The sequence below is a fragment of the Homo sapiens genome, chromosome Y (genome assembly GCF_000001405.40).
Source record: "Homo sapiens chromosome Y, GRCh38.p14 Primary Assembly".
In the NCBI taxonomy this organism is placed as follows: Eukaryota; Metazoa; Chordata; class Mammalia; order Primates; family Hominidae; genus Homo; species Homo sapiens.
The window spans coordinates 22808868-22823046 of record NC_000024.10 but is presented as its reverse complement, the minus strand read 5'-3'; positions in this window follow the sequence as shown (position 1 = coordinate 22823046).

Sequence of the window (14179 nt, the reverse complement as noted above, 5' to 3'; positions counted from 1 at the left end):
ACTTACATGCTTCAAGTAGAGTGCTGTCAGCTGTGGCCTCAAGTCTCTGGCTCTTCTGGAATTTATTCAGCACACACTAAATGACAAAAAATCTCAAGTAAACACCACTAGAAGGTAATTACCATTGCCGACCCCCTCAGTACAGAACACTCATTCACTCGCAAATGGTCAAAGGTTAGTTTCAGAACCACATGAGTAAATAAGCTATTTAAATAGTCTTCTCTACATTGCTTTGTTAAATACCCTTGCTATAGCTCAAAAAGAATAAGGCTGCCTTCAACCAAACACATTATGGAAACCTGCAGGCCTTCCAAGAGATTCTGTGTTTACATTTTATAACTTTATCTTAAAGTTTTTCCCACCAGGCTGACTGAACCCCTGCATCCCAATGTCCACAGCAGGCGTGGCTCAGGGAGATGAGGAGAGTCACATCCCCTAGGTGATTTCATAGGAATGTGTCACAATGTAACCTGTGGGCAGAAAGCAGGCAAAAGAGCACATCACTTGGGTGCTGGGTCCTGAGATATTTAACAAGACTCTTAACACAGCACTCAGCAAACAGAGTTACATCACCTAGGTGCAGATTCTCTGCTTATGCCACAATGCACCGTGTAGGTAGGGCCAAAGCAGGGAGTCACTTCACAATGGTGATAGGCCCACATATATGTCACAATGTTCTCTATGAAGCATAGTCCTGGCAAAAGAATATCATCACCTGTGTGCCTGGCCTGGAAATATATCACTCTCCAGGTTGGCAAGACCCAAGCAGCAGAGCCACATGAAATCTGTGATAAGCCCAGAGATATGTCACAATGCCCTCCTTTGGGCATGGCTCTGGCCTAAGTGTACCCTCACCTGTGTGCCTGGCCTAGCAATATATCACTATTCTTCCTTTGTGCAGGGCCCATTACAGAGAGAAGAGTTACATCCCCTAAGAGGTGGACACAATGGTATGTAACAGCAATTTTGGTGGGCATGGGGCAGGCAAGAATGTAGCATCGCCTGGATGCTAGATCCAGTGATATGTCACAATCCTTACTGAGAAAAGGTCCCAGGCAGGAGAGTCACATCAACTCCAGGTTGGCCTAGGTAGATATCACAATCTCATATACAGGCTGAAACAATTCTGGTGAGTCAAATTACACAGGTGCTTGGCAAAGATTTACACCACAAGCTCACTGTCAGAAAATTCCAAAGATGAGATTTACAGTAGCACCCATGTCCTGTTTTCATGGGTGACAGTTGGCTTCATACATGTTAGATGATGACAGTCATTACGATGAGCTAGGTGTGCATACAAGGCTCACAATTTCACCTGTGTGCTGTGCCCTGCTTAGATTCTGTGTGTGTAACCCAAAGACTTTGTAAATATGTGTGAGTGTTACAGTCTTTTGTGAACTTTGAACGAGAAGGTGATCCGGGACATCACACATGTCCCTAAACCTAGTTATAAGACTCAATGTATCCTTTATTGGATAAGTCCACATAAGAGAGTCATTATCATGCCTGTGATCCATGCTTAGGTATATGTTACAATTCCCTCTGTGGTTATGAAGCAGGCAGAAGAGCCACATCACCTAAATGCTGGGCCAGAAATATTCCAATATCTTGATTGTGGGTAGGTTCCAGTCAGAAATGTCACATAACTTGTGTGCTAATTTCAGCTTTCTGCACACTGTTCCTCGTGGGAAGTGTCCAGGAAGGATAGGAGATTCGTGTCACGTAACAGCAGAGCCCAAAACTGCGTCACAATGTCTCACGTTGGCAGGGCCCACGAAAGAGAATCATGTCATTAGGATGCTGTGTTTAGAAATGCTAAAATTACTAAAGGAAGCAGGGTACAGGCCAAAGAGGAGAGCAATGTAACCTAGATGATGGGTCAAGAAATATGTGACCATTTCCCCTGAGGACATTGTTAAGACAGCACAATCTATTCGCCAAGGTTCTTGGCCCAAGTGTTTGTCAAAATCTCATTCGTGGACTATATCAAGGCAGAATTACTAAATCATTCAAGAGTTGGGCAAAAATATACGTCACATTACACTTGAGAAAAGGTTTACGAATATGACCCACCATCCTGCACAAGTTCTGACTTCAGACATATGAGTTGCTATTAGGCTTTTCTTGTGGTCTCAGATATATGGCACAATATTATTTGTGGCAAGAGAGAAGGCAGGAAAGTCACATCACTTATGTGGGTATGGGTCTAGTGAGATGTCACAATCCATCTTGTGGGCAAGATCCTGGCAGAAGAGTCACATCACTGGAATGATCATTTCAGTGACATATCAAAACTCCTTCTTTGGGCACAAATTTAGCCAGAGAGGAGACACAGTTCACCTAACAACTGGCCTTGCTATATGTCAAAATGTCTGTAACGTTCAGTACCAAAGCTGGAGAGTGACCTCACATTATTGCTGAAATCAGGAATATGCGCAATCTCCCTGTGGTCAGGGCACAGACAAAAGCAAAGAAACATCATCTAGGTGCTTAGCCAAATGATATGTTACACTGCTTCCTGTTGGCAGAACCCAAAAGAGAGAATCACATCTCCCGGGTGCGGTACCAAGTTGTGTGTTACAATGCACTGTACGTGCAGGGCCAAGGCAGTAGAAAGGAGTCACATCACTTACGTGATGGACCTTGATATAAAACACAATACTCATTGTAGACAGGCTTTAGGCAGATAATTCACCTCACCAGGGTGGTGGTCCCAGTGATATACAAAAGTGCCCTTTGTAGGCAGAGCCAACGAAGGTGTTACATATTGCTTAGGTGCTTCTTCCATATATGGCACAATTTCATCTGTGGTGTGGGCCTAGAAAAGAAATTCAAATTATTCATGTGCTGGGGAAATTTACCTGTCCCAATCACACTCTCAGAAATGCTTAGAAATAAGTTTCATGTCCTACACAAGTCCTGGTTTTCTGTATGAAAGTTGAGTCAACACAGAGGAGTCATAATTTCAACAATGAGACGGATCCATGTATAACAGCCTGAATCCCACTTGAAGATTGTGTTTCAGTCGGGGACTCACAACACTGCAATGTGCTGAATCATGGTTCAAATATTACCAAACCACTTGTGATTAACATGCAGGTATAAGAGTAATTATTTCAACCTTCGACTGCTTTTTAGGCATGCATAAAAGAGTCACATTCTTACCTCGTTGCTGATCTCTTTTATGACACTCTTTGTACCATTAAGTGTTTATATGATATAACTGAGTCTTGTAATTATTTGTGAACTTTATACAAGTAAAAATCACAGGAATTTACACATGGACCTGAGACTGCTATGAGAGTCATAATATTTCTACTGGCTGGGTCCAGGTATGAAAGTTATTGTGCGTGTGTGCTTAACCCAGAGTGTTAACATATTTCTACTGAGTTGGTCCAGTTATGAGAGTTATTATTGTGTATGTGTGCTTAACCCACACATATGTCATAGTTTCACCTGTGAGCAGGGACAAGGCAGAAGAGTCACATCATCTGGGTGCTGAGCCAGTGATACATTATAATCTCATTTGTAGGCTGGGCCTATTTGGAAAATCACACAACCTGGATACACCCTGAAATAGTATGTCACCAAGCCTGCTATAGACAGGGAAGAAGCATAAGAGGAGAGTTACTCCACGTAGGTGCTGGGCTCTGCAATATGTAATAATGTGTCTATTGGCAGAGTCTGGAATATGAAAGACAGCCATATCACCTAGGTTTTGCAATCAGCAGTATGTCACAAGTTTTTTGGTGAGCAGGACCCTGGCCAGGAGGAGAGTCACATGACATAAATATTTTGCCAAAGAATATTTCACAATGTTCTCTAGGGGCAGGGCACAGGCAGGAGAGATATGTTACCCAGCTTATAGGCCCAGAGATCTGTGACAATATCCCAGGTTGGCAGGGTCCAGGCAGAAGAGTCATATTATTATTATTCTAACACAGCAATATGTCACAATGCACCCATGTTAAGTTATTTCAGCAAAAAGTCTCAACACCTGGGTACCAGGCCTAAAAACATGCCAAAACCTTTGGTCTTTGAGGGTGACACCATTAACTGCGACCTGGGTGTGTGTATGAGAGTCACAGTCTCACATTTCCCGGGCTGTTGTATGACACTCTACAACATCTGAAGGCTTTATACAGCATGCATGAGAGTTGCAAAACACTCTGAGGCCTATAGGCTCATATGGATTCACGATCATATATACTGCCCTAACCCAGGTATAATGGTCAACATCTCTGTAGGCTGGGATTAGGGATGCCTGTGAGCTGGACCCAGAAATGAGTCACCATGCCACCTGTGGCCAGATCATGCCTATAAGCTGAAGCGAAGTGTATGTCATAGTCCCATTTGTGGGCAAAAAACTTGGTTGGCAGGTAATATTGTTTAGCTGCAGTGCCAAGTAGCATGTCACAATGTCCTCTCTAGGCAGGATATAGAATTAGAGCCACATTAACTGGGTGCTGGGCTCAGCAATCTGAAACCATCCCACATGTGCAAAATCCCAGCCAAGGAATGAGAGTCAAAACACCTACATAATATGCCCAGAATATGTTAAAACCTTCGTGGCTATGGGACAGGCATGATAGATGAAATAATGCCCTGCTGTGAAAGGACATTGTCAACGTGCTGGCCTCAGTGATATGCCATAATTCTGTCCATTTGCTGGGCCCAGAAAAAGGAGTAACATTATCTCGAGGCTGGGCCCTGCAATAGGTCAAAAATTCTGTTTGTGTGCATGGCTCTAGAAAAAAAGTAGAGACAAATAACCTGAGTGATGAACTCAGCAATATGCCACAATCTCCCCATTGTAAAAACCAGGGAGAAAAAGAGAGTCACTTCACTTAGGTCAAAGGGCAGAGAGATATATCCCACTGTCCCCAGCAGGTAAAGCCCAGACAGAAAAGGTGAGTCATATCACCTAGGGACTTTCTTGGTTATATATCACATTCTAACATGTGGGCAGACACCAAGCAGAAGAGCCGCATCACCTGGGTACAACATCAAGCAATATGTCACCATCCCCATAAGGACAGGTTTGAAGGAAACAAAAGGGAGAATCACAACTCCTGAGTGGCGAGCTTAGCAATATGTAATAATCCCCACTCTTGGCAGAATCCAGGATAAAGAGGAGACTCATGTCTCCTAGGTTTTGGACTCAGTGGTCAGACTTTCTTCGGTGGGCAGGATCCAATCAGCAGAGGACAGTACATTTCCTAGACGCTATATCTAGCAATATGTCACAATGTCACCTGTGGGCAGGGTACTGTCAGGAGAGCCATATCAACTAACCAAGAGGCCCAGAGATACATGAAAATATACGCTGTTTGCAGGACCCATGCAGAAGCGTCATATTGTCATGATTCTGACCCAGTGATATGTAACAATGCTCTTATGGAAAAGAATGCAAACCAAAAGTCTCAACACCAGGATACTAGGACTAGGGATATGACTCAATCTCATCTTTAAAGGTGACAGCATTAACTAGTTGTGTATATGACAGTCACGATCTCATGTATGTGCTGGCCACTGTATGACACTGTCTACAATATCTGAGAACTGTATACACTATGCATGACAGTCTATATCTCTCCCATAGGTTGGCTTAAAGAATGAGGCCACTATTATTGCTGCGAGCTGAATCCAGAAATGAGTCATGATTCCAACTGTGGCCAGATTGACTTATGAAAGTCACAATTCCAACTTTGTGCTTTATTCACTCATTAGACTCAGGACATCAACAATACCCTTTGCAAATGCAGGATGGTAACAACTTTTACTTTCGTCTGTGCAGTCAAGAGTCACAATCTTAATTTTTTGCTGGGCCCTGTTATAAAACTCTCTCTACCAACCAAGAAGTTTTTATGATATGAGTTGGTATTGTAAACTTCTGTGATATTTGTACAAATATGCAATAAAGGACCTTAATTATTGAAGAAAACCTAGTGGTGAGTGGCAAAATATCTCCTATTGGCAGAATCCCAATATAAGCTTGATTATCATGGCTTTCAACTGGAGGAAGGTATATGTCATAATCTTATTTCTGGGCTAATAACAAGGCAGAAGGTTAACATCACTTAGCTGCTGGGCCAAGCTATATGTCACAATGCCCTCTCTAGGCAGGGCCTAAGGAAAAGGGTCACATTTACCAGGGGTTGGAGCCAGCAGTTTAATGCAACCACAGATGGAAGAAACCAAGCAAAGTGATGAGAGCCAAAGCACCTAGAGAATTTGCCAGAGATATTCTAAAATACTTTCTGTAACTTAGTCACAAGCAGGAGAGCCATGTCATTAGGGTGCTGGACCAAGCAATATGCCACAATTCCCTGCTTATGCATGACTTACGCAGAAAAGTAGCATCATCCAGGTGCTGGGCCCTGAAATATTGCAAAAGCCCTGTTCGTGGGCGTTGTTCAGCAAGAAGACGAGAGTCACATTACCTAAGTGCTGGGCTCATCAATATGTCAAAATGTTCCTATTGTTAAGGCCCAGACAGAAGAAGAGAGTCACATCATTTACGTCACGGGTTCAGAGATATGGCCCAATGTCACCAGTAGACAAGGCTCAGGCAGAAAAAGTCATATCACCTGGATGTTTTTAAAAAGTATATGTCACAATTTAATATGTGGGCAGAAACCCTGGTGAAGAGCCACATCTTCTGTTCCAGTGTCCTGAGATACTCACAACTCAGTCCCCCTTAGAAAAGAACCGACTCCAGTTAGTTACATCGCCTAGGTTCATGTTCCACGGTTCTTTCACAGTTCTCCATGTGGGCAGGAACAAGCAGGACCAAGGACCAGGGCCAAGCCCATCACCTAAGTGATAGGCTGAGAGATATGTCACAAAAGCATGGCCCTGACCAAAGAACACCACCACCTTTGTACCTGGCCTGGCAATATGTCACTATTCAAGTAGGCAGTTCCTGAGTAGAAGAGCCATATCACCTACATGATAGGACCTGTGATATGCCAAAATGCCCTCTTCGGTGCAAGGCCCTGGCAAAATAGTATCAACACCTGTGTTCCTGCCCTAGAAATATGTCACTATTTTGCCCCGTGTGCAGGACTCATTCCAGAGAGGAGAGTTACATCTTCTAACTGATGTACAAAGTGATATGTAACAATGATGTCTTCAGGCATGGTGCAGGCAAAATGTAAAGACAGTTTGATGGTGGATCCAGTGATGTCACAATTCTTACTGAGAGAAGGGGTGGCTGGGCGGAAAAATCTCATCCCTTCAAGTTTTGCCCAGGTAGATATCCAAATCTCATGTAGACTGGAACCAGTCTGAAGAGTGAAATCACACAGGTGCTTGGCAAAGATTTATATCACAGTCACAATGAAATAAAAGTCTATGGATTAGACTTACAATGCCACACATATCATGTTTGCATGTAGGACAGTTGCCTTCATCCATCTGTGATGGTGAAAGTCTTTACTGCCAACTGGCTGTCCATACAAGATTCAGAATTTCCTCTCTGTGCTAGGCCCTGTTATGACACTCTCTATACAATCCAAGGGTCTTATAAAATATGTGTGAGTGCTGTAATTTTCTGTGACATTTTTACCAGAGTTAGACCCTGGACATCACTCATGTACCTCAACCTAGTTATAAGGGTCAAAATTTCTCCTATTGGCTGAGTCTGCATATGAGAGTCAGTATCATTCCTGTTAGCTGTGTCTAGGTATATGTCACCATCCCCTCTGTGGTTATTAGACCAGCAGGACAACCACATCACATAACTCTTCAGCCAGAAATATTCCAATATTCTCTTTGTAGGCAGGATATAACAGAAATGTCACAAAACTTGGGTGCTGGTCTCTGTGATTTGTAAATTTTCCTGTATTGCATTGGTAAACAAGGTGTTACATATTGCTCAGGTGCTTGTTGCATGTATGTCACAATTTCCACTGTGCTCTGCACCTAGAAAGGAGAGTCAAACACTCAGATGCTGGGTAAAGTCACATTTCTCAATCACACACTCAAAAATGTTCAGAAAAATTTTCACAGTCCCGTACTAGTCCTGCCTTTGGATATAAGAGTGAACATCTCCCATGTGTTGGGTGGAAGTATAGGAGTCACAATGTCATCAGTGGGCAAGGTCCATGTATAAAAGCCCCATTCCCACTTGAAGATTGTATTCCAGTAGGAGAGTCAAAGGACTACATGTCTGCTGAGTCATTCTTCAAACATCAAAAAAACCACCCATACTATTATTTTGGAATGTCCTGGTGACTTGTCCATGTTCAACAGTAGGGCTGTCTACCTGGCACTATGAGAGCATAATACACACACACACACACACACACACACACACATTATATATATATACACAAACACACATAAACACATACACACAGAGTAATATTTCACAACGCACCCGTGGTAAAGAATTTAAGACAGAAATCTCAACACCAGGGTACTAGGTCTGGTAATATGACACAATCTCCTCATCTTTTAGGTGACACCTTTAACTTTTAGCTTGATATGTATATTACAGTCACAACCTTACACGTGTTCTACATCATTATATGACACACTCTACAACATCCAGAGGCTTTATGCAACATGCATGAGAGTTACAAACCACTCTGAGGCCTACATGCTTATATTCACTCACAATCTTACATATTGCCTTAAACCCAGTTATGATTGCCAACACCTCTCTAATAGGCTGGGTTCAGACAGGAGACCCATTATTATGCCTGTGATCTGGGTCCAGAAAATAGTCACCATCTCACCTATAGCAAGATCCACATATGACAGTCAAAATTTCAACTTTGTACTTTATTTACTTATACTCAGGACTTTAACAGCTGACTTTGTAAATATGGGATGCTGAAAAGTTTTGCACTCACCTGTATGTGTAATCAAGAGTCATGATCTTAATCTCTGGCTGGGCCCAAGCAGTTTTTAGAATATGAGTTAGCGTTGTAAGCTGCTGTGAGCTTTCTGCCACTATGCAACTCACAACTTTAAGTATTGCCCTGCGTGGAGAGGTGATAGGCAAATGTTACTATTGGTGGAAAACAAATATAACTTTGATCATCATGCCTCTGAATTGAATCATGTAAATTTCATAATCCCATTTGTAGGAAAAAAGAAAAAACTAGCCAGGAGAGTAGCACAACGTAGGTGCTTTGCCAGGCAATATGTCACAATGCCTTCTCTAGGTAGGGTTCTAGAAATGAGGGTTACATTAACTGGGTGCTGGACCTAGCAATATGACACAATCCACCTCCCCAAAAGAAAAAAAAAACAGACAAATGATGAGAATAAAAACTCCTACTGGGTGTGCCCAAGAATTGTAAAAATACTTTCTGTTGCTCTGGCACAGGCAAGAGAGTTACAGCATCAGGGTTGGGGGCGGAGCCATATGCCATAATTCTCTCTTTATGCAGGACTCAGGATGAAGAGGAACATCATCTGGGTGCTGGGCCCTGCAGTAAATCAAAATTCCTTTTCCTGGACACTTTTTGGGAGAAAAAAAAAAAGAAAAGCCATATAACCTGAGTATTTGGCTTAGCAATATGTCACATCACCCCATTGTAAAGGCTCAGACAGAAGAAAAGAATTACGTCAGTTAGGATACTGGCTCAAATATATGACCCAATGTCCAAAATAAGCAAGGCTAAGGCAGAAGAGAAAAGTCATATCACCTAGGTGCTTCCCTAGGTATATGAAAAAAATCTAACATGTGAGGTGAAGCCAGGCAGAAGAGTCACACCGCCTTGATCCTGATTCCTGAGATATGTCACAAGTTTCACTTAGGACAAGACTCAGACAAGAGATTTACAACAAATAGGTGTAGGTTCTACCTTTATGTCACAATGCTCTTTGTGGGCCATGCTGAAGCAGGGAGTTACGTTACCCAGGCGATAGGCACAGAGATATGTTGCAATGTTCTCCTTGAGACATGACCCTGGCAAAAGAGTACCATCACTTATATGCCTAGTGTAGTAATATGTCACTATTCAGGAAAGCAGGACCCAAGCAGGAGAGCAACATCACCTAAGTGATCAGCCCAGAGATTTGTCACAATGCATTCTTTAGGACATGGCTCTAACAAAAGAGTACTGTCACCAGTGTGCCTGGCCCAACCATATGTCACAATCCCCAATTGTGTGCAGGGCCCATTCTAACAAGGAGAGTTACATCACCTAAGTAGTTGACACAGTGATATGTCACAATAATCTCTGTGGGCATGGCTAAGGCAAAAATTTAACATGACCAAGGTGCTGGATCTAGTAATATGTCACGATTCTTACTGAGAGCAGGACCCAGGCAGTAACATATCACTTGTATCAGTATCATGTAGAGGTAGGCCCAGGTAGATACCGCAATAAGATATGCGGGCTAGAACCATTATGGTGGATTAAATCACACAGATGTTTGGTGAAGATTTGTATCACAATAACACTAGCAGAAAATTCCCAGGATGAGATTTACAATATTGCACATGTCCCATTTTCATGAGTGACAGTTAGCTTCATATATGTGAGATGTTGATAGTACTTACTGTCAGCTGGGTGTGCATTTGAGACTCACAGTTTCATCTTTCTGCTGGTTTCTGTTATGACACACTCGGTACAAGCCAAAGGCTTTAAAAAATATGTGAGGCTGTTATAATTTTCTTTGACCTTGTTTTTTTACCAGATAGGGATTTAATTACTCGTGTCTCTAAAGAAATTTATGAGAGTTAAAATTCTATTTGTGGGATCCACATAAGACAGTCATTATCATGCCTATGAGCTGTGCTTGGGTATATATCACAACTTAGTCTGTGTTAATGAAACAGGCATGACAGCCAAGGCACCTAAATACTGAGCCAGAAAATTTCCAATATTCTCCTTACAGGCATGCTCCAGGCAGAAAAGTTGCATAACTTGGGGGTTACATCAAGATGTATAACACAATACACCTTATGGGCTGTGTCCAGGTAGAAGAGGAGACTTGTATCACCTAAACAATAGGCCCAGAGATATCTTACAAAGTCTCCTTTTGCAAGGATCAGGCAAGAGAGTCACGTAATTTGGATGTAGTGCTTAGAAATGCTATAGTCCCGGCGGGGCGTGGTGGCTCATGCTTGTAATCCCAGCGCTTTGAGGGGCCGAGGTGGGTGGATCATGAAGTCAGGACATAGAGACCATCCTGGCTAGCATGGTGAAACCCCATCTGTACTAAAAAAATAAAAAAAATAAAAAATTAGCCAGGCCTGGTGGCTGGTGCCTGTAGGCCCAGCTGCTTGGGAGGCTGAGGCAGGAGAAGGGCGTGAACCCAGGAGGCAGAGCTTGCAGGGAGCTGAGATCGCACAACTGCACTCCAACCTGGGCAACAGAGCAAGCCTCCATCAAAAAAAAGAAAAAAAAAAAGAAAGAAATGCTACAATCTCTAGTGGAAGCAGGGTCCAGGTAAGAGAGGAGTGTCAGGTAACTAGATCATGGGTCCAGAAATATGTTACAATCCTTCTGGAAGATATTGTTAAAACAGGAGAGTCAAATCATCATGGTGATAAGTTGAAGTACACATCCAAATCTCATTTGCGGGCTACAACTAGGCAGGAGTATTAAATCACTCAGGAGCTGGGCAAAGGTATATGTCACAATAACACTGGTGGAACATTCCAGGAATGGGAGTCTCTGTCTTGCATATGACCTGGATCCAGGTTTAACAGTCATGATTAGTCCTCTTAAGTAGTCTTAGGTATATGACACAATATCACCTGTGGGCAGAGAGCAAGCAGAAAGGTCACATCATCTGGATGGGTGCTGGTCCAGTGAGATGCCACAATCTTCCTTGTGGGCAGGACACTGGAAGAAGACTCACATCACCTGGAGGCTGGTTTTAGTGATATATCAAAAGTCCCCCTGTGAGGAAATCTTAGGAGTGTGAGGACACTCCCTTTACCTAAGCAATTGGCCTAGATATATGTCACAATGTTCACTATCTGCAGAACCACGGTATGAAAGTGACCTCACTTCGGCGCTGGGTTTAGTAATATGTCACAATCTCCCCTCTGGTCACGGCAAGACAAAAGAGAAAAACATTATCTAGGTGTGAACCAAGTGATATGTTATGAAGCTTCCTGTTGGCAGAACCCAAAACAGAGAGTCACATCACCTGGGTGCAGTACCCAGTTATGTGTCACAATGCCCTGTAACAGCAGGGCCAAGGCAGTAGAAGGGAGTCTCATCACTTATATGATGGACCTAAATCTAAGTCACAATGACTTTTATAGGCAGGAAAAAGACAAAGAATTGACATCACCTTGATGCTGGTCCCCGTGATATGTTTAATTACCCTTGGTAGGCAGGCCCAGGCACTTCTGCTTAGGTGTATGGTCCACCTACGTCACAATTTTATCTGCCGTCATGGCCTAAAAAGGAGAGTCAAATTATTCAGGAGCCGGGCTAATTTTTATGTCCTAATCACACGCTGGGAAATATTCAGAAATAAGTTTCACAGCCCTTCACAAGTCCTGGCTTTGTGCACATGGGTCAACACCTCCTGTGCAAGGGGTCAAAGCAGAGGAGTTACAGACTCAACAATGGGCAGGATCCATGCATAAATTGCCCAGTTCTACTCGAAGATTGTGTTCCAGTATGAAAGTCACAGCCTCACAGTTGGGCTGAATACTGCATCACCAAACCACCCACGGGGTTAAACCATGTACGAGAGGAACAATTTCAACCTTCGACTACTCTGTTGTGTGAAACTTAGTACCTTATTTGTAGGCCACGTTCTTGTATGAAAGTGACAATCAAGTTAGCTGGGTGTGCATCCATGATTCACAATCACACCTGGTTGCTGTTCCCTGTTATGACACTCTTTGTACCACTGAGGCTTTATATGATATGCCCGAGGGTCATATCCTCTGTGAACAAATAGGAGACCCATTATTTTACTTATGGAAATAAGACTGGCTATGAGAGTCAAAATCTCTCTCCTTTCTGGGTCCAGGTATGATGATTATAATTGTGCATGTGAGATGATTCCAGGTATATGTCACAATTTCACCTGTGGGCAGAAACAAGGAAGAAGTCTCACAACATTGATGCAAGCCCATGATACATTATCTACTCTTTTGCTTGCAGGTCCAAGTCAGAAGAGTCACATCACCTGGGTACAGCCTCAAGTAATATGGCACCATGTCCACTGTAGACAGGGTTGAAAAAAACAAAATAGGAGACTCACAACACCTAGGTGTTAGGCTCAGCAATATGTAATAATCCCCTCTTTTGACAAACTCCAGAAAATAAAGAGGAAAGTTGCATTACCTAGGTTTTGCACTCAGTGGCATGTCACAATTCCTTTAGTAGGAAGGACCTAGACAGGAGAGAAGAGACGTATTTCCTAGCTGCTACGTTCAACAATGTCACAATGTTTCTTTGGGGCAAAGCACAAGAAAAAAAGACAAATCCCTTAACATTTAGGCTCACAAATATGTGATGATATGTCTTGTTGCAGGGCCAGGGCAAAAGGTGTCACATTATTATGATTCTGACACAATATGTCACAACACATACACGAGAAACAATTTAAGCAAAAGTTTTAACACCTGGTTACTAGGCCCAGTGATATGACACAGGACACTCGTTGGCAGGACACTCGAAGAAGACTCACATCACCTGGATGCTGCTCATCTTTGAGGATGGTACCTTTAAGTGTAAGCTTGGTGTGTATATGAGTCACAATGTCATGTGTGTGCTGGGCCATTATATAGAACCCTCTGCAACATCCGAGGGATGTATATGGCATGTATGAGAGTTGCAAACTTCTCTGAGGCCCACATGCTCATATGGACTCCCAGTGTTATATATTGCCCTAAACCCAGGTATGATAGTCAACATCTCTCATTTAGGCTGAGTTCAGGAATGAGACCTATTTTTATTTCTATGAGCTGGGACCAAAAATGAGTCATAATCGCACCATTGGCTAGACCCACATGTGAGTGTCATGATTCCCACTTTGTACTGTTTTTCTTTGTTAGACTTAGTACCTTAACAGTGGGCTTTGTAAATGTGTGCTTGTGACAATATTTACTTCCACCTGGCTGTGTAATTTAGAGTCACAATCTTAATTTTTTTATGTTTCTTGTTATAAAACTCTCTGTACCACCAAAGGAGTTTATACAATATGAATTAGTGTTGTAAACCTCTGTGAGCATTGTACAAAC